We start from the raw sequence: 27,161 nt of genomic DNA, 5'->3' as shown, positions 1-27,161 counted from the left end.
TGGCATGTAATGTGTCTGGGGACAGGGTTGAGTATAGAAGTGAGAGACAACAGAATACACTTTTAAGCTTAAGGTCAGAATTGACACTGAAATTAACCTGATTTGCAATATTTTAACCTGTCTTGCCAGAATATCTGGTCTCGTTTTATGTATCTCAGATGTCAGGCAGAAAAATTGGCAGGCACTTCTTCAGAGAGATTACAGACCTGTGGAAGCCTAGGGCAAGAGATTACAGGTAGAAACATATGACAGACCATATAAGGCCTCAGGGAGAAGTTTGGGTAAAATCTTTGGGAAATTAAGACATTCATATGGGGGAATTCTGAAAGCCATATGCATCAAGATGTATGCACAAAGACCTGAGATGAATTGAAACTTTCATCTTAAGCTTGATCACTAGACTCAGAGCAGGCCCAGCTAATCAGTCAAAAACTACCCCAGCAAAGATCAAGTCTGAGGAAACTGGAAAATGGTGTAAGAACAAGTAGGAACTATTATTAAAGATACAGAAATTATAAAAGGGAACAAAATAGAGTTTATAGAGCTGAAAAATAAAATAGTTGAAATAAAAATCAACAGTGGCATTCAATAGCAGATTTAAGCAGATAAAAAAAGAATGAGCAAACCTGAAGACAGGGAAGCCAAAATTACCCATTTGAAGAGAAGAAAGAAAAAAGAATAAAATAAGTAAACAGAGTCCAAGAGACCTATGGAATACCATAAAGCATATCAATCTATACATTATGGTAATTCCAGAAGAAGAAAAGAGAGAAAAAGTAGAAAAAAATGTTGGTAGAAATACTGGCCCCAAATTTTCCAATTAATGAAAGATATAAAATACAAATCCAAGAACTCATGAAACACAAAGAAAAATAAACACAAAGAGATCCACACATTATAATCAAACTATTGATGTCCAAAGGCAAAATCTTGAAAGTAGCAGGAGAGAGGCAATACAAGGGATCCTCAGCAAAATTAAAAGTCAATTCTCATCAGAAAGCACAAAGGCCAGAAGGCATGGGATGATACAAAGTGCTGAAACAAACTAAAAACCAAAACTGTCAACCAAGAATTCTATATGCAGCAAAACCATCTTATGAAAGTGAGGGAGAAACTAAGGCATTCTCAGATAAACAGAAGCTAAATAGTTCATCCCTGGGAAACCTACCCTACTGAAAATGCTGAAGGTATGAATAAAGGGATAAATGCTTCAGGCTCAAATGAAAAAAACAATAAATAGTAACTCAGAGCCATTTGAAGAAATAAAGATCTCTGGTTAAGGTAAATATAAAAGCCACTATTACTTTATTTTTGATTTGTAACTCCTCTTTTTTTCCTATATAATTAAAAAAATAAATGCATAAACAATAATAATGAATCTATATTAATGGGTACACAATATATAAAGATATAGTTTGTGACACTAACAACATAAAGCAGGCAACAGAGCTGGGAAGGAGTAGAATTAATGTCTGCTATTGAAGTGAAGTTGGTATCAGTTCTACTGGATTGGTAGTTATGTGTTTGCTAGGGCTGCCACAACAAAATACCACAGTCTGGGTAACTTAAACAACAAATTTATTTTCTCTTTTACTCTGAAGAGTAAAAGTCTAAGATGAAGTTGTTAGCAGTTTTGATTTCTTCAAGACCTCAATCCTTGACTTGCTGATAACTGCCTTCTCACTGTGTCTTCATGTGGTCTTTTCTCTGTGCATACACACACCTCTAATGTCACTTTGTGTTTGTAAATTTCCTTTTCTTATAAGTACACAAGTCAAATTGGATTAGGGCCTGCTGTAATAGCTTTATTTTAACTTAATCACCTCTTTAAAGGCTGTATCTCCAAATATACTGTAATCCTCCCTTTTCTATAGTTTCATGTTCTGCAGTTGCATTTACCTGTGGTCAACTGCAGTCCAAAAATATTAAATGGAAAATTCTAGAAATAAACAATTTGTAAGTTTTAAGTTTCATGCTATTTTGAGTAGTTACATGAAATCTTGCACCATCTGGCTCTGTCCCACCTGGGACATAAATCTACCTGCTAATCAGTCACTCAGTAACAACTCAGTTATCAGATCGACATACACAAGAAGAAGGGTGAATACAGTATATATAATAAGATATTTTGAGAGATAGAGATCACATTCACATAATTTTTATTACATCATATTTTTTATAATTGTTCTATTTCATTAGTTGTCATTGTTCATCTTTTACTGTGTCAAATTTATAAATTAAACTTCATCATAGATATGTATGTATGGGAAAAAACATAGTATATATAGGGTTCAGTACTATCTGTGGCCCCAGGCATCCACTTGGGGTCATGGAATGTATTCCCCATGAATAAGGGGAGATACAAGCTGAGGTACTGTGGGTTGGAGATTTAACACATGAATTTTGGGTGGGGGGGACACAATTCAGACCCTAACAGTTGTTAACTGCAATCTCCCAGGTAACTATTTTAAAAATGAGTAAAAAATGAAAAGGAAATGAAGAAGGAATCCAAATGTTACACTAGAAAAAAATCAAACACAAAAGGCAATTTTGGAGGAATTGAGAAACAAAAAAGATACAAGACATAGAATAAAATCGCAAAAAGGCAAAAGTCCATCATCAGTAATCAAAATAAAATAGATTAAGTTTGCCAATTAAAAGAAGAAATTGGCATAGTGAAGAAACAAAAACATGATCCAAATATATGTTGCATACAAGAGACTGACTTTAGACCCAAAGACAATAGTTCAAATACACAGTTTGAAAGTAAAACAAAGATTTTTTCAAGCAAGATGAAATGGACAAGTTCCTAAAAACACACAAATTACCAAAACCAACTGAAGAAGAAATAGAAAATCTCAAAAGACCCATAACAAATAGTTTGACTCAATAATCAAAAACTTCCAACAAAGAACAGTCCAACTACAACTGGTAGATAAATTCCACCAAACACTTAAAGAAGAATTAACACCAATCCTACTCAAACTCTTGTAAAAAAAAAAAAGAAAAGAAAGAAAACTAGGAAACACTTTCTAATACATTCTATGAGGTCAGCATTACTCTGATAGCATACCCAAAGATGGCACAAGAAAAGGAAACTACAGACCAATAACCCTTAAGGATATATATGCAAAAATCCTCAAAAAGATGCTAACAAACTGAATCCAACAGCACATTTAAAGGATTATGCACCATGACCAAGCACAATTCCTGGTCATGCACCATGACCAGGAATGCAAGGGTAGTTCAACATAAGAAAATCAATCAATGTAACCCACTACAATAGTAAAATGAAGGAAAGAAACCACACGATCATATCAAAAGGCACAGAAAAAGCATTTGACAAAATTTCACACCTTTTCATGGTAAAAAACGCTCAGAAAACTAGGAAGAGAAGTAAACTTCCTTAACATGATAAGGGGTATTTATCAAACTCAGCACCATACTCAATTGGAGAAAGACTGAAATCAAGAATAAGACAAGGATTCCAAAGAATAAAATGCCTAGGAATAAATTTAATGATAGGAGAAAGATTTGTATATTGAAAACTAGAAAACTTGGCAGAAGAAATCAAAGATATAAAAATGGAAAGACATCTGTGTTCATCAATCAGAAAACTTTATTATTAAGATGGTAGTATTCACCAAAATGATCTACAGGATCAACGCAATTCCTATCAAAATTCCAATGGCCTTTTCTGCAGAAATGGAAAAGCCAATCCTTAAATTCATATGGAATTGCACAGAGCCCCAAATAACCAAATGTCCAAAAAACAAAAAACAAAGTTGGAGAACTTGCACTTCCCAGTTTCAAAACTTACTACAATAATCCGCCTTTATCCCCAGGGGATACATTCCAAGGCACCTAGTGGATGCCTGAAACCACAGATATTACAGAACCCTTTATATATTATATTTTTCCCTATAGATACATACTTGTGATAAAGTTTTAGAAATTAGGCACAGTAAGATGTTAACAATAATTAATAGAACAATTAAAACAATATGATGTAATAACTTAAAACTGATATGAATGTAATCTTTGTTTCCCACAAAATGCCTTATTGTACTGTACTCACTCTTCTTGTGATGATGATATGATAAAATGCCAATATAAAGAGATGAACTAAGGTGAATGATGTAGGCATTGTAATGTAGTGTTTAAAGCTTATGAATTGTTTGCTTCTGAAATTTTCCATTTAATGTTTTTGGACCACAGTTGACCATGAGTAACTGAAACTGTGCAAAGTAAAAACCATGAATACAGGGAGACTACTATATAAAACTATATAGCAATCACAACATATCTATTGTGGTATAAGGAAAGACATATAGAACAATGAAATAGAACTGTGAGACCAGAAACAAACCCAAACATCTGTGGCCAACTGATTTTCAACAAAAAATGCCAAGATCATTTAGTGGGGAAAATAATAGACTTTAACAAATGGTGCAGGAAGAGCTGGATATCCCTATGTAAAAGAACGAAGTTGGACCCCTACACTTCACATCAAGAAAGGGAAAAGAGAACTCACAAAACAGGAAAAAAAATTTGCAGATCACAATCTGATGAGAGTTTTGTGTCCAGAATATATAAAGAACTCTCACAACTGAACAACAAAAAGATAACAATTTAAAAATGGACAAAGACATGAACAGACATGTCTCCAGAGAAGATACACAAATGGCCAATAAGCATATGAAAAGGTATTCAACACCAAAACTACAATGAGATAGTATTTCGCATCCGCTAGAATGGGAAATAATAAATGTTGGTGAGGATATGGAGAAACAGAAAGCCTCATACATTGCTAATGGCAATTTAAAATAATGTAGTTACTGTAAAACACTTTGGTGTTTCCTCAAAAAGCTAAACACAGAATTACCATATGACCCAACAATTCTATTCCTAGGTATTTATCCAAGAGAAATGAAATCATATGTCTACTCAACTTGTACACAAATGTTTACAACAGTAATATTCATTGCATCCAAAAGGTAGAAAAAACCCAGATATATATCTATATACATCTCTGCCAAAAGAGGCGAATCTATAGAAAGAGAAAGCCAATTAGTGGCTTCCAGGGAATGGGAAGATAGGAGAATAGGGGGTGATTTCTTAATGAGAAAGGGGTGTTCTCCTGGGGTGATAAAAATATTTGGAAATTAGAGGGAGGTAGTAATTGCATAACATTGTGAATATATTAAATGTCACCAGAATGTACACTTTAAAATGGTTTATCTCATGTGTGTGAATTTTACCTGGCAGTACATGGTGAAGTTATACCATGCCAACCAGCAATTACATTATTGGGTATAAAATTTTTAAGGACACACATATATCTAAAGGCATATAGCAAGGAGTGTTCCTATGATGAAGAGGAAAAAGAAAGATAAGGAAAGAAGGTAAATAAATTAAACAAAACTAAACTAAAATAAAGAGAAGGTCTTGAACAGACCAGTAAGAAGAAAGTCATAAACTAAGGATGACCAAAATAATTCCATCACCTCAGGTCCTACTACCATTCCTAAGTATGTTTATTACAATTATATCTTTAAAAAACAAAAATTTAAAACTATTAAACATGTGAGAATCATTAAATAAATTATAGTATAGTCATATATACAGAATACAGTAATTGGGATATTTGTCAGAAATGTTTAATGTCATAAGGTTAATTCTCAGCATATAACATTATGTGAAAATTCCAAGGTTGGAAAAACTAAGATTTCTTATACATGGTACTATCTCGGTTATTTCAAAATATATTTAGTGTAGAATAAATAATCAAAGCTAATACAGTAATACGTTTTCACATTTTACTGTATTATTATTCTAGGTGATTATTATTTCTTCACATTTTATTTTCCAAATTTCTCACAATTATATGTACTACTTTTGTACTTAAAAAACTGTTTTTAATAAAGCAAATTACTGTCTTCACAGTTGTTGTGAGAATTAAATAATTCAAGCAAAAGTGTTTTGGCACCCTGCTTGGACCTTTTTAGGTAGTCCATACATATTAGTTATTATTATTATTGCTGTGATAATTCACCTCTTATTAGTTATAATAACTGTGTAAGAACTAATTGAGATCTTTCAGGAAGGAAAATTTGCATGAAGGGAAAAGCGAAAAGATTATGAACTACTACATGTATAATCTCGAAGCAGGATATTTCCCACTGACAGAAAAAAAATCCACATAACCAAGAATCTGAATTTGTAAATTTTTGGAATATGTTACCAACAATAAATCATTAACTAAGTAATTGAAGTACATATTATTTAGTGGAGTCTGACTTTATATTGAATAAAAATATATCATGACTAAGTAGGCACTATGCAAGGAATTCAAAGACAAGTTAACATTAATAAATCAACATAGTTTATTACATTAATCAGTTAAAAGATTTAAAAAATAGATGCTGAAAATAATTTAATAAATTCTAACAGCCAAAAAAAAAAAAAAAAACAAAGTGTAATGCGAATAGAAAATTCCAAAGTGTGAAAAGGAATATTTATCAGTGACCAAGATCAAATATCATATTAAATGCATAAATATTAAATACATTCCAGATAAAGTAAGGAAGAAATATTACAGTTAACATTGTATTAATGTTAACTTGGAAATTAATTAAAATTAACTTGGAAAGTTAATTCATTAAGAAGAGAAGTTATATAAATATTCAAAAAAAGACAAAATTATTTTCATGTGAAGATGATTCAATTGATACCTAAAAACAATAAGAAATTAAAAGTTCATTTATTAAGATGCCTAGATACAAAATAAATATACAATAGTTTCTTTAAACTAGTAATGATCAGTTTGAGATTTAAGTTAAAAATCCCACTCATTATGATTCTTAACTACAAAATTCCTAGCAATAAGTTTAATAAGTAATGAAAATACCAATATAAAGAGAACATAAAATATTAAAGTGTAAAATAAGATATGAACAAATAGAGAAACATTTTATTTAACAGAACATTTACCTTTGAAGCAGATTTTCTTTCTGCAACTGATAAGAAGTCTGCAATTGGTAATAGCGTTAATGCTTTTTCCAAAATTCTTCTGACTGTTGTCTTTCCTCCACCTGTTGGGCCCACTAACATCACACCAACACAAACCTAAAACAAAATTTACAGATTTATTCATTCATTAATGATTTTAAGTTTATTAACCAATATATCTCTATATCCATTGACTATTTTATTTTTTGTGGCTATAATAAATGAGTTTGTGTTCTTTATTTGGCTCTCAGCATGAATGTTATTGGTGTATAGAAATGCTACTGATTTTTTTTTTTTACATTGATTTTGTGTCCTGAAACTTTGCTGAAGTTGTTTACCAGATTTAGGAGCCTCTTGGCTATGTTTTTTAAAATTTATTTTTTATTTTTTATTTTAATAACAGGTACAGAGTCATACCATCAGCAAAGAGGCATAATTTAACTTCCTCTTTTCCTATTTGGATGTCTTTTATTTCTTTCTTTTACCTGGTTGTTCTGGCTAGGACTTCCCGTACTATAATGCATAAGAGTGGTGTGAGTGGGCATCCTTGTCTTATTCCAATTCTTAAGGGGAATGCTTTTAGCTTCCACCTATTCAGTATGGCTTCTTTCTTTCTTTATTTTTCTTTCTTTCTTTCTTTCTCTCTCTCTCTCTTTTTTTTAAGATATGTTCCTTTGATGCCTAGTTTGTTGAGACTTTTTATCAAAAAGGGATGTTGGATTTTATAAAATGCTTTTTCTGCATCTACTGAGACAATCATATGTTTTGTTTTTGTTTTTATTTTCTTTGAGACAGAGTCTTGCTCTGTTGCCCAGGCTGGTGTGCAGTGGTACAATCTGGACTCACTGCAACCTCTGCCTCCCAGGTTCAAGCGATTCTTGTGCCTCAGCCTCCTGAGTATGTGGGACTACAGGTGCGTGCCATCACAGCTGGCTAATTATTTTATTTTTAGTAGAGATGGGGTTTCTCCATGTTGACCAGGTTGGTCTTGAACTCCTAGTCTCAAGCGATCCACTCACCTCTGCCTCCCAAAGTCTTGGAATTGCAGGTGTGAGCCACTGTGCCCAGCCAATCATATGGTTTTTAATTCTGTTTATGTGGTGAATCACATTCATTAATTTGCATATGTTGAACCAACTTTGCATCCCAGGAATCAAGGCTTCTTGATCATGGTGAATTCACTTTTTTTGATGTCCTGCTGGATTTAGTTTGCTAGTATTTTGTTGAGGATTTTTGCATCTATGTCCATCAAAGATGTTAGTCTGTAGTTTTCTTTTTTCATTGTGATATTGCATGTTTTGGCCTGATTTTGATATTAGGATAATACTGATTTTATATAATGAGTTTGGGAGTAATCCCTACTTGATTTTTTATTTGAATAATTTGATTACCATTGGTATTAACTCTTCTTTGTACATCTGGTAGAATTTGACTGTGAATCTTTCTGGTCCAGGGTTTTTTTTTGTTTGGTAGGTTTTTGTTACTGACTCAATTTTGGAACGTGTTGTGGGTCTTTTCAGGGTTTCAGTTTCCTCCTGATTGAATCTTGGGAGGTTTGTTTGTTTCTAGGAATTCAACCATTTCCTCTAGATTTTCTATTTTGTGTAAATAGATGTGTTCGTAATAGTCTTTGAGGATCTTTTGTATTTCTGTAGGGTAGTTTATAACATCATCTTTGTTGTTTCTGATTGTACTTACTTGGATCTTCCTTTTTTTTTTTTTTGTTAATCTACCTAGTGGTCTATTGATCTTGTTTGTCCTTTCAAAAAACCAACTTTTGGTTTCATTGATCCTTTGTATAGATTTTTGGGTCTCAATCTCTCAATTTTCTTCAGTTCTGCTCTGATTTTAGTTATTTCTTTTCTTCTGCTAGCTTTGGGATTAGTTTGTTCTTGTTTTTATAGTACAGTTGGGTGCAATGCTAGATTGCTAATTTGAGATCTTTCTAATTTCTTAATGTAGGCATTCAGTGCTATAAACTTTCCTCTTAATACTGTTTTTGTCACATCCTAGAGCAGGTACCACACTGCCCATGGCCTCTAGACCTTTGCAGCACTGGGGCTTGCCCAAGGCCTGCAGCCACCACTACCTACCTGCCATTGATATTTATTCATGGCCTGAGGCCACTTTAGTTAGCCAGTAATGATGCTGGCCAGGACTTTGATCCATCCTGCCAAGGCAGCTGATTCCCTTCTTGCCTGGGTTGGGTCTAGAAGTACTGTTCAGGAGTATCTGCCTGGAATCAGGGTCCACAAGGCTCTTCTGGTACTCTAGTTTACAATGGCAGAGCTGGTACTAGGTTCCAAGGCAAAGTCCCCTGCATACTTTCCTCTCCTAAGTGGAAGGAGTCTCTTCACACCGCACTGCCTGGAGCTGGGAAAAGAGTGACATGGGCTCTGCATAGCTGCTGCAGCTGATCTCATGCAGGGCCACACCCAAATCCCCCAGCCTGCCAGATCAGCACAGAATTGGCATCACCCAAGGACTGTTGTACTATGGCCTGCCTACCACAGAATTTTATTTGGGACCTGAGCCCACTTTAGTCAGCCATTGGTGAATTGGGTCAGGACTTGAGTTTCTCCTACTGGGATGACAGATTCCTTTCTGGTCCACAGTGAGTCTAAATACTCTCTTTGTGCTCACCAGCCTGGAATGAGGGGCCATGGTGTTATGCCTGGTGTTGTCTTTTATCGTGGCAGGGCCAGTACTAAATGCAAAGTCTCACACACTTTCCTCTCCCTCTCTCAAGTGGACAGAATCTTTCCCTGGGCTCCGTGCTGCCTGGGGTTGGGGTAGGGCTAGTGTAGGCAGTGTGAGACTGTTCTTTCTACTTTTTTCAATGTGTCTTTTCTGTTATTATGGTAAAATTAGGTACTCTGATCTCTCAACTAATTATTTAGCTCTCGTGAAGGTGTTTTCTTGTGTGGATAGTTGTTCAATTTGATGTTCTTTCAAGGGTATGATTCTTTGAAGGTTCTATTCCACCATCTTGCTCTACCTCATCCTCCCTAAAAGTTTTAGATATTCACATTTCCCATTTTTAAACTGTCTGGAATTTTTTTAAGGTGCCAGTTGAGGATCTATTTTTCCCTATGTGAATAATCATTTTTCCAAGACTTTTCCTTACTGGTTTGCTACTTCTATCATATATGAGGTGTCCACATTTAATAAGGTTAATTTCTTAATTAATTCCTTTTTATTTTATTTTATGAGATGAAGTCTCACCCTCTTGCCCAGGCTGGAGTGCAATGATGCGATCTGGGTTCACCGCAACTTCTGCTTCCAGGGTTCAAGTGATTCTCCTACCTCAGCTCTCAAATAGCTGGGATTACAGGCGCATGCCATCATGCCCAGCTAATTTTTTTTTGGTATTTTTATTTTTTAGTAAAGACAGGGTTTCACCATGTTGGCCATGCTGGTCTCAAACTACTGACCTCAAGTGATCCACCTGTCTCGGCCTCCCCAAGTGCTGGGGTTTCAGGCATGAGCCACTGCACCCAGCCTGATTTATTCTATATTTTATTCTTTTGGTTTATTTATCTGAATGACAGGACAGAATAGAAAATCCAGAAATAAAGCCACATACCTACAACCATCTGATCTTCAACAAAACTGACAAAAATAAACAGCGGGGAGAAGATATTTGCAAACCATGCATCTGACAAAGGTCCAGTATCAAAAATCTATAAGCAACTTAAAGAATTCAACAAGCAAACAAACAAATAAATAAATAAACAACTCCATTAAAAAGTGGGCAAAGGAGATGAACAGACACTTCTCAAAAGAAGACATATAAGAGGCCAATAAACATATGAAAAAATGCTCACATCACTAATTATCAGAGAAAAGAAATGAAAACCACAATGAATTGGTTTCACATCAATTTGAAAGGCTGCTACTAAAATGTAAAACAAAAACATATGCTGGTGATGCTGTAGAGAAAAGGGCATACTTATACACTGTTGGTGGGAATGTAAATTAGTTCAGTCACTGTGGAAAGCAGTTTGGAGATGTCTCAAAGAACTAAAAATAGAACTACCATTTGCCCCAGCAATCCTATTACAGGGTATGTACCCAAAGAAAAATTAATCATTATACCAAAAAGGTATCTACATTCATATGTTCATTGAAGCACTATTCATAGTAGCAAAGATATGAAATCAACCTAGGTGCCCATTAACGGTGGACTGGATCAAGAAAATGTCACAAATATACACCATAAAATACTCTGCATCCATAAAAAAGAATGAAATCAGGTCCTTTATAGCAACATGGATGCAGATGGAGGCTATTATCCTATACAAATTAGCACTGAAACGGAAAATCAAATATCACAAGTTCTCACTTACAAGTAACAGGTAAATCTTAAGTACACATGGGCAGAAATTTGGGAACAACAGACATTGGGGACTCCAGAAGGAGGGAGGAAAGGAAGGGAGCAAGGGTTGAAAAAATTCCTATTGTGTACTATGTTCACTATCTGGATAATGGAATAAATAGAAGCCCAAACCTCAGCATCACACAATATAACCATGTCACAAACCTGTACATGTACGCTGTAAGTCTAGTATAAAAACTTAATTTAAAATAATGCATTAGAGGGTCTTAATAGCAGATCCATCAGAACAACCAGTGAGCTCAAAGACAGGCTATTTGAAAGTACACAGTGGTACAGTTTGAATATTTGTCACCTTCATAAATCATGTTGAAACTTGATGTCTGATGGAGATGGGGCCTAATGAGAAGTGTTTATATCTTGTGGGGGATCCTTCATGAATAGATTAATGCCTTCCCTCAGGGGTGAATGTGTTCTCACTCTAATAGTTCCTTCAAGAGCTGGTTATTAAAAAAAGCCTGGCATCTTGCCCATCTCTCGTTTCCTATCTTACCGTGTTACATCTACACATGGCAGCTCCCTTTCACTTTCTGCCATGTGTGGAAGCAGCCAGAGGCCCTCACCAGGTGCCAAATCTTGAACTTTTCAGCCATCAGAATTATGAACCAAATACACCTCTTTTCTTTATAATTTACTCAGCCTCAGATATTTCTTTATAGCAACACAAAACAGACCAAGACACACAGTGAAAGTAGAATAACAGACAAGAATGAAATTGAATGAAGGATGCTCATGACGTCTGTGGAACAGCATCAAAAGAGCATATATAAAAGTCACTAGGCTTCGAGAGAGAGTGAGAAAGAAAAAGGGGTAGAATGCTTATATCAAGAAATAATAACAGAAAACTTTACAAATGTAGAGAATGATATACATATCCAGGTACAGAAAGGTCAAAGATCACCAAGCAGATTTAACTCAAATAAGACTACCCCAAGGCATATAATAAACTCTGAAAGATCAAGGACAGGAGAGGATCCTAAAAGCAGAAAGAGAAAGAAGCAAATAACACTTAAAGGGGTTCTGATACATCTGGCAGCAGACTTTTCATTGGAAACCTTACAGGCCAGAGGCAGTGGGATCATATATTTGAAGTCCTGACAGAAAAAAAAAACTGTCAACTGAGAATACTGTAGCCAGAAAACCCACTCTTCTAACATGAAGGAGAGTTAAAAACTTTCTCAGACATGAAACAGCTGAGGGGATTCATCACCATCAGACCTGTCTTACAAGAAAGGCTAAATGGAGTTCTTCAATCTGAAGGAAAATTATGATAACATGTAACAAGAAAATATTTGAAGGTATAAAGCTCACTGATAAAAGCAGGTATACCAAAATTCAGATTACTCTAATACTGTAATTGTGGTGTGTAAAATACTCATATCTTTAACATGAAGACTAAAAGAGAAAAATGTCAAAAATAATAACTAAAACAATTTGTTGTGAGATAGACAATATAAAAAGATGTAAATAGAGATATCCACAAGTTGGAAGGTGGGGAAGATGGAGTTATAATGTGGAGTTTTTTAGTTTAGTTTGTTTCTTTTCGTTGTGATTAAAGTTATGTTGTCATGAGTTTAACTTATTATAACTATGATTTTTCAGAACCACAAAGCAAAAACCTATTATAGATACACTATAAATAAAAAGCAAGGAACTAAAGCATACTCCCTGAGAAAATCACTTAAGTACAAAGGAAGAAAGTAAGAAAAGAAGAAAGGAAAAGAGGAGTTACAAAAACAACCAGAAAATAAGTAACAAAATGGCAGTAGCAAGTTCTTACACATCAATAATAACCTCAAATGTAAATGAACTAAATTCTCCAATTAAAGCAAATATTAACAGATCTAAAGGGAGAGATTGACTGCAATATGATGTATTAGTCAGTTTTCACACTGCTAATAAGGACATATCCAAGACTGGGCAATTTACAAAAGGAAGAGGTTTAATTGGAGTTACAGTTCCACGTGGCTGGGGAAGCCTCACAATCATGGCAGAAGGCAAGGAGAAGCAAGTCACACCTTATATGGATGGCAGCAAGCAAAAAGAGTTTGTGCAGGAAAAATTCCCCTTGAAATAACCATCAGATCTCGTGAGACTTACTATCATAAGAACAGCATGGGAAAGACTTGATCCATAATTCAATTACCTCCTACTGGGTCCCTCCCACAACACATGGGAATTCAAGATGAGATACGGGTGGGGACACAGCCAAACCATATCATTCCACCCCTGGTCCCTCCCAAATCTCATGTCCTCAAATTTCAAAACCAGTCATGCCTTCCCAACAGTCCCCCAAAGTCTTAACTCATTTCAGCATTAACTCAAAAATCCACAGTCCAAAGTCTCATCTGAGAAGAGGCAAGTCTCATCTGCCTATGGGCTTGTAAAATCAAAAGCAAGTTAGTTACTCCCTAGATATAAATGGGGGTACAGGCATCGGATAAACATAGCCTGATATAGTTTGGCTGTGTCTGCACCCAAATCTCAACTTGAATTGTATCTCCCAGAAGTCCCATGTGTTACGGGAGGGACCCAGAGGAGGCAATTGAACCATGGGGGCTCGTCTTTCCCTTGCTATTCCTGTGATAGTGAATTAAGTCTCATGAGATCTGATGGGTTTATCAGAGGTTTCTGCTTTTGCCTCCTCATTTTGCTCTTGCTGACACCATGTAAGAAGTGCCTTTTGCCTCTCCCCATGATTCTGAGGCCACCGCAGCTATGTGGAACTGTAAATCCAATTAAATCTCTTTTTCTTCCCAGTCTTGGGTATGTCTTTTACCAGCAGCAGGAAAACAGACTAATACATAGCCATTCCAAATGGAGACATTGGCCAAAACAAAGGAGCTACAGGCCTCATGTAAGTCCGAAATGCAGTGGGGCAGTCAAATCTTAAAGCTCCAAAATGATCTCCTTTGACTTCATGTCTCACATCCAGATCACGCTGATGCAAAAGGTGGGTTCCGCTGGTCTTGGACAGCTCTGCCCCTGTGGCTTTGCAGGGTACAGCCTCTTTTCTGGCTGTTTTCAAGGGCTGGCATTGAGTGTTTGTGGCTTTTCCAGGTGCACAGTGCAAGCTGTCAGTGGATCTACCATCCTGGGTTCTGGAGGATGGTGGCCCTCTTCTAACAGCTCCACTAGATGGTGCTCCAGTAGACTCTGTGTGGGGGCTTCAACCCCACATTTCCCTTCTGCACTACCCTAGCAGAGGTTCTCCATGAGAGCTCCACCACTGCAGTAAATTCTGCCTGGACATCCAGGCATTTCCATACATCTTCTGAAATCTAAGCAGAGGCTCCCAAACCCCAGTTCTGGACTTCTGTGCACTTGCAGGCTCAACATCACATGGAAGCTGCCAAGGCTTGAGGCTTGCACCCTCTGAAGCCATGGCCGGAGCTCTACATTGTCCCCTTTCAGGCTGCATACAGCACAGAGACCCTGGGTTTGGCCCACGAAACCATTTTTTCTTCCTAGGCCTCCAGGCCTGTGATGGGAACGGCTGTGATGAAGACCTCTGACATGCCCTGGAGACATTTTCCCCAGTGTCTTGGGGATTAACATTTGGATCCTCATTACTTATGCAAATTTCTGCAGCTGGCTTGGATTTCTCCTCAGAAAATGAGATTTTCTTTTCTATCGCATTGTCAGGCTGCAAATTTTCCAAACTTTTATGCTCTGCTTCCCTTATAAAATGGAATGCTTTTAAACAGCACCCAAATCACCTCTTGAATGCTTTGCTGCTTAGAAATTTCTTCCACCAGATACCCTAAATCATTTCTCTCAAGTTCAAAGTTCCACAAATCTCTAGGGCAGGGGCAAAATGCCACCAGTCTCTTTGTTAAAACTTAACAAGAGTCACCTTTACTCCAGTTCCCAACAAGTTCCTCATCTCTGTTTGAAAATACCTCAGCCTGGACCTTATTTTTCATATTGCTATCAGGCTTTTGATCAAAGCCATTCAACAAGTCTCTAGGAAGTTTCAAACTTTCCCACATTTTCCTGTCTTCTTCTGAGCCCTCCAAACTGTTCCAACCTCTGCCTGTTACCCAGATCCAAAGTCGCTTCTGCATTTTCGGGTATCTTTTCAGCAACACCCCACTCTACTGGTACCAGTTTACTGCATTTGTCTGTTTTCATACTGCTGATAGAGACATACCCAAGACTGGGCAATTTATAAAAGAAAGAGGTTTAATTGAACTTACAGTTCCACATGGCTGGGGAAGCCTTGCAATAATGGCAGAAGGCAAGGAAGAGCAAGTTACCTCTTACATGGAATGGCAGTAAGCAAAAACAGCTTGTGCAGGAAAACTCTCCCTTATAATAACCATCAGATCCCATGAGACTTACTAACTATCATGAGAACAGCATGGGAAAGACCTGCCCCATAATTCAATTACCTCCCACAACACGGAATTCAAGATGAGATTTGGGTGGGGACACAGCCAAACCATATCATACAATAATAGTAGGAAATTTCAACACCCTACTGTCATCAATGGATAACTCATATAGACAGAAAATAAAGAAACATAAGAGTTAAACTGCAATCTAGACGAAGTGAACCTAATAGAATATTTCCCCCAACAGATATAACATAGACATTATTTTTAACAGCACATGGAACATTTTCAAAGACAAACCATATATTAAGCCACAAAACAACTCTTCACTATTTTTGAAAAATGGAAATCCAATCAAGTATCTTTTCTGAGAACAATGAAATAAAACTAAGTATCAGTAACAGAAGGAACTTTGGAAATTGTACAAATATGTGGAAATTAAACAATGTGCTCATGTACAAGCAATGGGTCAATGAAAAAAATTAAAAAATAATTTAAAAAATTCCTTGAGAGAAATGAAAATGGAAACACCACATACCTAAACCAATAGGATATAGCAAAAGCAAGGAAGGAAGGAAGTTGGATAAACATAATGCATTCTTTCCTTTAAGAAGGAAGTTTGGCCGGGTGTGGTGGCTCATGCCTGTAATCCGAGCACTTTGGGAGTCCGAGGTGGGTGGATCACGAGGTCAAGAGTTCAAGACCAGTCTGGGCAACATAGTGAAGCCCTGTCTCTACTAAAAATACAAAAATTAGCCGGGCATGGTGGGTGCCTGTAGTCCCAGCTACTCAGGAGGCTGAGGCAGGAGAATCGCTTGAACCCTGGAGGTGCAGAGCTTGTGCAGGAAAATAAAAACCATCAGGTCCTGTGAGACTTACTAACTAAGTCTCAGCAGTGAGCTGAGATCGCACCAGTGCACTCTAGTTAGGGGGACAGAGTGATACTCCATCTCAAAAAAAAAAAAAAAAAAAAGATCCAAAATAAACACACTTACACCTCAAGAAACTAGAAAAATAAGAACAATCAAAACCCAAAAAATAAAGATGAGAGAATAGGGAGTAAAAAATACAAAAGATCAATAAAACAAACACCTTGTTTATTGAAAAGATTTTTAAAAATCAACAAATCTTTCACTAGACTAACAATAAAAGACTCACATAAATAAAATCAGAGAAGAAAAAGGAGACATTATAGCTGATACCACAGAAATATAAAGGATCATAAAAGACTACTATGAACAACTATATGCCAACAAATTAGAAAACCTAGAAGAAACTGATATATTGCTGGACACATACAACTTATCAAGATTGAATTACGAAGAAAAGAAAACCTATGCAGGTCAATAATGAGTAATAAAGAGTTTTCCATCAAAGAAAAGCCCAGGATGTGATGGCTTCACTGCTGAATTCTACCAAACTTTTAAAGAAGAACTAATACCAATTCTACTCAGATTCTTCAAGAAAATGATTCCCAATGTGTTCTATGAAGCTGGCATTACTCTGATATCAACACCAGATAAGAACACAACAAAAAAGGAAACCACTGACTAATATCCTTGATGAACATAGATGCAAAAATTCTGAATGTAATACTAGCAAACTGAATTTAACAAGACATTAAAAAGATCATTAACCATGATCAAGAGGGATTCATCCCAGCAATGAAAGGATTGTTCAACATATGCAAAACAGTAAACACGATATATCTCATTAACAAAATCTGGGACAAATACCACCTTATCATTACTATTGATGCTGAAAAAGCATTTACAAAAATCAGCATACCTTTATAATAAAAAAAACCTTAAACAAACTGGGCATAGAAGGGACATACATCAACACAATAAAGTGAATATACGACAAACCCACAGCTAACATCATCCTGAACAGGAAAAAGTTGAAAGCCTTTCTTCTAAGATCTGGGACAAGATGAAGATGCTCACTTTCACCACATTTCCTCAATATGTTACTGGAAGTTCTAGGCAGAGCAATTAGGCACCAGAAAGGAATAAAAGACATCCAAATTAGAAAGGAGAAATTTAAGCTGTCCTGTTTGCAGATGACATGATCATCTATACAGAAAGTACTAACGACTCCACCAAAAAGCTTTTAAAACTAATAAATGAATTTAATAAGGTTGCAGAATACAAAATAAACATACAAAAATCAGTAGCATTTCTATATGCCAGTAGCAACACTGACTGAGAAAGAAATTAAGAAAGCATTCCATTTATAATAGTTACAAAAATATGAAATACCTAGAAGGTGAAAGATCTCTACAAAACATATATCATCATCTATAAAACACTTATTAAAGAAAGTAAACAGGACACAAATAAATGGAAAGATATCCTGTGTTCATGGATTGCAAGAATTCATATTGTTTTTCTTTTAACTTTTTTTAAAATTTATTATACTTTAAGTTTTAGGGTACATGTGCACAATGTGCAGGTTAGTTAAAAAAGTATACATGTGCCATGTTGGTGTGCTGTACCCATCGACTCGTCATTTAATATTAGGTATATCTCCTAATGCTATCCCTCCCCTCTCCCCCAACCCCACAACAGGCCCTGGTGTGTGATGTTCCCCTTCCTGTGTCCATGTGTTCTCATTGTTCAATTCCCACCTATGAGTGAGAACATGCGGTGTTTGGTTTTTTGTCCTTGCGATAGTTTGCTGAGAATGATGGTTTCCAGCTTCATCTATGTCCCTACAAAGGACATGAACTCATCATTTTTTTATGCCTGCATAGTATTCCATGGTGTATATGTGCCACATTTTCTTAATCCAGTCTATCATTGTTGGACATTTGGATTGGTTCCAAGTCTTTGCTATTGTGAATAGTGCCACAATTAACATATATGTGCATATGTCTTTATACTAGCATGATTTATAATCCTTTGGGTATATACCCAGTAATGGGATGGCTGGGTCAAATGGTATTTCTAGTTCAAGATCCCTGAAGAATCGCCACACTGACTTCCACAATGGTTGAACTAGTTTACAGTCCCACCAACAGTGTAAAAGTGTTTCTATTTCTCCACATCCTCTCCAGCACCTGTTGTTTCCTGACTTTTTGATGATCACCATTCTAACTGGTGTGAAATGGTATCTCATTGTGGTTTTGATTTCCATTTCTCTGATGGCCAGTGATGATGAGCATTTTCTCATGTGTCTTTTGGCTGCAAAAATGTCTTCTTTTGAGAAGTGTCTGTTCATATCCTTCACCCACTTTTTGATGGGGCTGTTTGTTCTTTTCTTGTAGATTTGTTTGAGTTCTTTGTAGATTCTGGATATTAGCCCTTTGTCAGATGAGTAGATTGCAAAAATTTTCCCCCATTCTGTAGGTTGCCTGTTGACTCTGATGGTAGTTTCTTTTGCTGTGCAGAAGCTCTTTAGTTTAATTAGATCCCATTTGTCAATTTTGGCTTTTGTTGCCATTGCTTTTGTTGTTTTAGACATGAAGTCCTTGGCCATGCCTATGTCCTGAATGGTATTGCCTAGGTTTTCTTCTAGGGTTTTTATGGTTTTAGGTCTAACATTTAAGTCTTTAATCCATCTTGAATTAATTTTTGTATAAGGTGTAAGGAAGGGATTCAGTTTCAGCTTTCTACATATGGCTAGCCAGTTTTCCCAGCACCATTTATTAAATAAGGAATCCTTTCCCCATTTCTTGTTTTTGTCAGGTTTGTCAAAGATCCAATAGTTGGACATATGTGGCATCATTTCTGAGGGCTCTGTTCTGTTCCATTGGTCTATATCTTGGTTTTGGTACCAGTACCATGCTGCTTTGGTTATGGTAGCCTTGTAGTATAGTTTGAAGTCAGGTAGTGTGATGCCTCCAGCTTTGTTCTTTTGGCTTAGGATTGACTTGGCAATGCGGGCTCTTTTTTGGTTCCATATGAATTTTAGTTTTTTCCAATTCTGTGAAGAAAGTCACTGGTAGCTTGAAGAGGATGGCATTGAATCTATAAATTACCTTGGGCAGTATGGCCATTTGCACGATATTGATTCTTTCTGCCCATGAGCATGGAATGTTCTTCCATTTGTTTGTATCCTCTTTTATTTCATTGAGCAGTGGTTTGTAATTCTCCTTGAAGAGGTCCTTCATATCCCTTGTAAGTTGGATTCCTAGGTACTTTATTCTCTTTGAAGCAATTGTGAATGGGAGTTCACTCATGATTTGGCTCTCTGTTTGTCTGTTATTGGTGTATAAGAATGCTTGTGATTTCTGCACATTGATTTTGTATCCTGAGACTTTGCTGAATTTGCTTATCAGCTTAAGGAGATTTTGGGCTGAGACGATGGGGTTTTCTAGATATACAATCATGTCATCTGCAAACAGGGACAATTTGACTTCCTCTTTTCCTAATTGAATGCCCTTTATTTCCTTCTCCTGCCTGATTATCCTGGCCAGAACTGCCAACACTATGTTGAATAGGAGTGGTGAGAGAGGGCATCCCTGTCTTGTGCCAGTTTTCAAAGGGAATGCTTCCAGGTTTTGTCCATTCAGTATGATATTGGCTGTGGGTTTGTCATAGATAGCTCTTATTATTTTGAGATATGTCCCATCAATACCTTATTGAGAGTTTTTAGCATGAAGTGGTGTTGAATTTTGTCAAAGGCCTTTTCTGCATCTATTGAGATAATCATGTGGTTTTTGTCGTTGGTTCTGTTTATATGCTGGATTATGTTTATTGATTTGTGTATGATGAACCAGCCTTGCATCCCAGGGATGAAGCCCACTTGATCATAGTGGAGAAGCTTTTTGATGTGCTGCTGGATTCGGTTTGCCAGTATTTTATTGAGGATTTTTGCATCGATGTTCATCAGGGATACTGGTCTAAAATTCTTTTTGTTGTGTGTCTGCCAGGCTTTGGTATCAGGATGATGCTGGCCTCATAAAATGAGTTAGGGAGGATTCCCTCTTTTTCTATTGATTGGAATAGTTTCAGAAGGAATGGTACCAGCTCCTCCTTGTACCTCTGACAGAAGTCGGCTGTGAATCTGTCTGGTCCTGGACTTCTTTTGGTTGGTAAGCTATTAATTATTGCCTCAATTTCAGAGCCTGTTATTGGTCTATTCAGAGATTCTATTTCTTCCTGCTTTAGTCTTGGGAGGGTGTATGTGTCGAGAAATTTTTCCATTTCTTCTAGATTTTCAAGGTTATTTGCATAGAGGTGTTTATAGTATTCTCTGATGGTAGTTTGTATTTCTGCGGGATCGGTGGTGATATCCCCTTTATCATTTTTTATTGCATCTATTTCATTCTTCTCTCTTTTCTTCTTTATCAGTTTTGCTAGCGGTCTATCAATTTTGTTGATCTTTTCAAAAAACCAGCTCCTGGATTCACTGATTTTTTGAAGGGTGTTTTGTGTCTCTATTCCCTTCAGTTCCACTCTGATCTTAGTTATTTCTTGCCTTCTGCTAGCTTTTGAATGTGATTGCTCTTGCTTCTCTAGTTCTTTTAATTGTGATGTTAGGGTGTCAATTTTAGATCCTTCCTGCTTTCTCTTGTGGGCATTTAGTGCTATAAATTTCCCTCTACACACTGCTTTGAATGTGTCCCAGAGACTCTGGTATGCTGTGTCTTTGTTCTCATTGGTTTCAAAGAACATCTTTATTTCTGCCTTCATTTCGTTATGTACCCAGTAGTCATTCAGGAGCAGGTTGTTCCGTTTCCATGTAGTTGAGCAGTTTTGAGTGAGTTTCTTAATCCTGAGTTCTAGTTTGATTGCACTGTGGTCTGAGAGACAGTTTGTTATAATTTCTGTTCTTTTACATTTGCTGAGGACTGCTTTACTTCCAACTAAGTGGTCAATGTTGGAATAAGTGCGGTGTGGTGCTGAGAAGAATGTATATTCTGTTGATTTGGGGTGGAGGGTTTTGTAGATGTCTATTAGGTCCGCTTGGTGCAGAGCTCAATTCAATTCGTGGATATCCTTATTAACTTTTTGTCTCATTGATCTGTCGAATGTTGACAGTGGGGTATTAAAGTCTCCCATTATTATTGTGTGGGAGTCTAAGTCTCTTTGTAGGTCTCTAAGGACTTGCTTTATGAATCTGGGTGCTCCTGTATTGGCTGCATATATATTTAGGATAGTTAGGTCTTCTTGTTGTATTGATCCCTTTACCATTATGTAATGGCCTTCTTTGTCTCTTTTGATCTTTGTTGGTTTAAAGTCTGTTTTATCAGAGACTAGGATTCCAACCCCTGCCTTTTTTGTTTTCCATTTGCTTGGTAGATCTCCCTCCATCCCTTTATTTTTAGCCTATGTGTGTCTCTGCACGTGAGATGGGTCTCCTGAATACAGCACACTGATGGGTCTTGACTCTTTATCCAATTTGCCAGTCTGTGTCTTTTAATTGGAGCATTCAGCCCATTTACATTTAAGGTTAATATTGTTATGTGTGAATTTGATGCTGTTATTATGATGTTACCTGGTTATTTTGCTTGTTAGTTGATGCAGTTTCTTCCTAGCCTCAACGGTCTTTGCAATTTGGCATGTTTTTGCAGTGGCTGGTACTGGTTGTTCCTTTCCATGTTTAGTGCTTCCTTCAGGAGCTCTTGTAGGGCAGGCCTGGTGGTGACAAAATCTCTCAGCATTTGCTTGTCTGTAAAGGATTTTATTTCTCCTTCACTTATGGAGCTTAGTTTGGCTGGATATGAAATTCTGGGTTGAAAATTCTTTTCTTTAGGAATGTTGAATATTAGCCCCCACTCTCTTCTGGCTTGTAGAGTTTCTGCCAAGAGATCTGCTGTTAGTCTGATGGGCTTCCCTTTGTGGGTAACCCGACCTTTCTCTCTGGCTGCCCTTAACATTTTTTCCTTCATTTCAACTTTGGTGAATCTGACAATTATGTGTCTTGGAGTTACTCTTCTCAAGGAGTATCTTTGTGGCGTTCTCCATTATTTCCTGAATTTGAATGTTGGCTTGCCTTGGTTGGGGAAGTTCTCCTGGAAAATATCCTGCAGAGTGTTTTCCTACTTGGTTCCATTCTCCCCATCACTTTCAGGTACACCAATCAGATGTAGATTTGGTCTTTTCACATAGTCCCATATTTCTTGGAGGCTTTGTTCATTTCTTTTTATTCTTTTTTCTCTAAACTTCTCTTCTCACTTCATTTATAACCTTTCTTGCAGTTGATCATATCGGCTACTGAAGCTTGTGCATGCGTCACATCGTTCTCGTGCCGTGGTTTTCAGCTCCATCAGGTCCTTTAAGGACTTCTCTGCATTGGTTATTGTAGTTAGCCATTCACCTAATCTTTTTTCAAGGGTTTTAACTTCTTTGCCATGGGTTTGAACTTCCTCCTTTAGCTTGGAGAAGTTTGATCATCTGAAGTCTTCTTCTCTCAACTCGTCAAAGTCATTCTCTGTCCAGCTTTGTTCCGTTGCTGGTGAGGAGCTGCGTTCCTTTGGAGGAGGAGAGGCTCTCTGATTTTTAGAATTTTCAGTTTTTCTTCTCTGTTTTTTCCCCGTCTTTGTGGTTTTATCTACCTTTGGTCTTTGATGATGGTGATGTACAGATGGAGTTTTGGTGTGGATGTCCTTTCTGTTTGTTAGTTTTCCTTCTAAGAGGACCCTCAGCTGCAGGTGTGTTGGATTTTGCTGGAGGTCCATTCCAGACCCTGTTTGTCTGGGTATCAGCAGTGAAGGCTGCAGAACAGTAAATATTGGGGAACAGCAGATGTTGCTGCCAGATCGTTCCTCTGGAAGTTTTTTCTCAGAGGAGTACCCGGCCGTGTGAGGTGTCAGTCTGCCCCTACTAGGGCATGCCTCCCAGTTAGGCTACTTGAGGGTCAGAGACCCACTTGAGGAGGCAGTCTGTCTGTTCTCAGATCTCAAGTTGCATGCTGGGAGAACCACTACTCTCTTCAAAGCTGTCAGACAGGGACATTTAAGTCTGCAGAGGTTTCTGCTATTTTTTATTTGGCTGTGCCCTGCCCCCAGAGGTGCAGTCTACAGAGGCAGGCAGGCCTCCTTGAGCTGCGGTGGGCTCCACCCAGTTTGAGATTCCAGGCCGCTTTGTTTACCTGCTCAAGCCTCAGCAATAGCAGGCGCCCCTCCTCCAGCCTCGCTGCCACCTTGCAGTTTGATCTCCGACTGCTGTGCTAGCCATGAGTGAGGCTCCGTGGGTATAGGACCCTCCAAGCCAGGCACTGGATATAATCTCCTGGTGTGCTGTTTGCTAAGACCTTCGGAAAAGTGCAGTATTAGGGTGGGAGTGACCTGATTTTCCAGGTGCCGTCTGTCACCCCTTTCCTTGGCTAGGAAAGGGAATTCCCTGACCCCTTGTGCTTCCTGGGTGAGGCGATGCCTCGCCCTGCTTCGGCTCACGCTCGCTGCACTGCACCCACTGTTCAACAATCCCCAGTGCGATGAACCCGTTACCTCAGTTGGAAATGCAGAAATCATTCGTCTTCTGCGTCGCTCACGCTGGGAGCTGTAGACTGGAGCTGTTCCTATTTGGCCATCTTGGAACCCAAATAATAAAGCCTTGACTAACAATTAATAAATGACTTTAATTAAAAAAAATTATACCTGTAACAGCTCTCTTTTATTATTATTTTTGCCCTTTATTTTATTAATTCCTATTGAAATACAGGCAAAGGATTGCTAACATGCCATTTTATACTTACCTGAAGTTGATTATAAAACTGTATAATCTTCTCTTTCTGAGATGACCAGTTTTGTAAACCCAATTGCTGAGTTGCAGTATATATTACTTTCTAAAAGGAAATAAATACATAAATTTAAAATGCATTGCAAATGAAACTCTTAAATTTTTATCTTCCAAAATCTCTCTTAACTAGGTACCAATTACCGCTCTTTAAGATAGTAATTCTTGATTTTTTAGTTCACCAACCTCTGTCTCTGAGAATAGTAAAAACTATTACTACTGTCTGCAGAAAAATACAGTGAACACAAAATTTTATGTTCACAGACACCTGATAGCAAATTCATAGATCCTTCCCTAGATTAAGAACCCATTGCTTAACATTTAAAAACCAGAGGTTATGAGAGGTTATCAGTGTATAACCATCTAATTATCCTACACTAAAAGAAAACATAAAAGGTTGTAGACCTTTTTGTAATTCTAATCATTATTAAGACAGGTTTTCAATTTTGTAATGATTATTTTAGTGTTTCAATGTTAAGAATATTTTAAGACAGTAAATAAAATTTACAAGATTAAAGACATGATGTGGTTATAAGTTAAAATAGTCCAAAGAGCAGCTGCAGCTTGGAAAGATACTTAATATTTTAACCAAGGTATTATAAGGGAAACTGTGCTTCCTTCTAAAGGAGGGTTTATTTCACTGTAGATAGAATTGGTAACTATGTCTACAGAAAAAAGTGGGATTTATCTTTTCTTTCTCACAGATCTCTTCCATTCCATTTTTCATTCCTTGCATCCCTACATTGAGACAGAACAAAGCAGGTGAAGGAAATACTCAGTAGGACTGTACAATGGAGAAAAAGGCAGCTTCTATGGCAATAACTGGAGGTAGGCAATCAGTTGACAGAATTTTTTAAAAGATCAAATGGAATTGCTCTCTTAAGTGGAATTGATGAGACTGCCCACTTCAGGCCTGAACTTATGAATCCTCTGCAGTTAATAACATAAGCCTAGATACCTACCTGAATATAAGCAAGAAATCACATAGGTATAGAATAAGAATAGCATTGTATGCACAGATCGTAGGGTTGGGATAATTAAAGAGATACTCAGACAGGTTATCCCACCTGGCTAATGAGTTTCACAAATTTCTTACTTTGGAATGTTTTGAAATAAAATCATAATCCTACTATAAAATATTCGTGGCTGTATATGATGTTCCTTAGAATCAGCTGGATGGCAAACTATATGTAGTTCTTATTCAATGATGCGGTTTCAACAATTCTCAGTTAATCTTTTAGTTACTTGGCGATAATGACACACACTTTGGATGTGTTAGAGACAGATATGTAAATAAGTCAGACAGATCACAATTGCCTATTAAATGTGATTCAGATTCTTGTATCTCAAGTGAGCAAATAGTATAAATAGCACAACTACAGAATATTTTTAAATAAGATATATTCCTATGTGGGTATGTTACACATGGCTGGTCACTGTGTAAGCCATCAAAAATGCAACATTAAATAAAAAATTGGATCACTCCAAATTTAATATTAAAACCATCATAATTTTAAATTACGATCTTTGTGATATTTCTATATTTCTATTAATCATATATTACAATTTGGTGAGTAACAATTTATTAAACAGTTGACAGCTGGCATAGTTATTAATGTAAAAATTATACAAATGTGGGTATAATACAAATGGGGTAGCTGAATAAACTGGTGTGTTTATATAGAAAACTTTTCCATAAGCTCAGACTGCCACATATACTGACTTGTAAAGCTGATGAAAAGATGAATATATAAGAAGGCTCAAAAGTAAAACCATTGATGGGCATGTGGAAATACTTGAAAAATGTTAAAACTAGCACAAGAGGCACCCAAAACTTACAACTGGAGAAGAGCGGAAAGTTTGTAGGCCCTGCCAGAGAGAGATGCAAGAATACTTATAAAAGGGAGAGAAAGCAAAACTTGCCAACTGATATTTTTATTTTCTTAAAAAAAAATGAAAATTCTCAAAATATAAATATAAATCAAAATCTTCAAAATATGGGCATCAGTTTAAAGACAAGTATCTATTGTACTTCTGAAAATCTCACAGAGCAACAAGGAAAAAAACATCAAATCGCATTTTCATTAAAATAAAAAAATATGAGGCCATGCGCGGTGTCTCACTACTGTAACCCCAGCACTTTGGGAGGCTGAGGCAGACGGACGGCTTGAGCCCAGGAGTTCGAGATCAGCCTGAGCAACACGGCAAAACCTTGTCTCTACAAAAAATAAAAAAAATTAGCTGGGAATGGTGGTGGGTGCCTGTAGTCCTAGCTACTTGGGGGACTGAGGCAGGAGGATTGCTTGAGCCCGAGGTCGAGGCTGCAGTGAGATGAGAACAGGTCACTGCACTCAAGCCTGGGTGACAGACTGAAACCCTGTCTCAAAAACCAACCAACCAACCAACCAACCAACCAAACAAACAAGTAAAAAAAAAAAACAAAATCTATAAAATCCAGAACACATGTAAGTACTAAGAAAATAACTAAGCTTAGTTTTATTGGAGCTTGGATGCTGCAAACTCTTGAAACAGAAAAGTCCAACTCATTCAATCATGTGAAACAAAGGATCTCACAGTTTAAGACTCCTGTTAATTTAGAGAACTAAAAATAAAAGAGTATATATTAAAAGGGCTAAAAGAGTACCAAACTCACAACTAGAGAATTTATAGTGATATTATGAACATTAAAGGCAAAGTGAAAATTTTAAGGGCATACGAAGAGAAAGAGTA

The 27,161-nt window shown here is 36.9% G+C and overlaps 1 protein-coding gene across 25 annotated transcripts in view; it reads right to left on the bottom strand.

The window, feature by feature from the left end:
* Nucleotides 1–27,161, bottom strand: part of DNAH14 (dynein axonemal heavy chain 14) — a 469,633-nt gene that overhangs the window by 206,868 nt on the left and 235,604 nt on the right. For all 25 annotated transcript variants that reach the window (XM_011544062.3, XM_011544067.3, XM_017000296.2 and 22 more), the window contains 2 exons: nt 24,391–24,480; nt 6,994–7,128 (listed from right to left, as the gene is read on the bottom strand). In XM_011544062.3, coding sequence (XP_011542364.1) covers nt 6,994–7,128; nt 24,391–24,480 — 225 coding nt within the window. The remainder of the gene's footprint in view (nt 1–6,993; nt 7,129–24,390; nt 24,481–27,161) is intronic.

Source organism: Homo sapiens, chromosome 1 (genome assembly GCF_000001405.40).
Source record: "Homo sapiens chromosome 1, GRCh38.p14 Primary Assembly".
Classification (NCBI taxonomy): Eukaryota; Metazoa; Chordata; class Mammalia; order Primates; family Hominidae; genus Homo; species Homo sapiens.
Note: the sequence above shows the minus strand (reverse complement) of the source record. Positions and strands in the feature narration are given on the sequence as shown.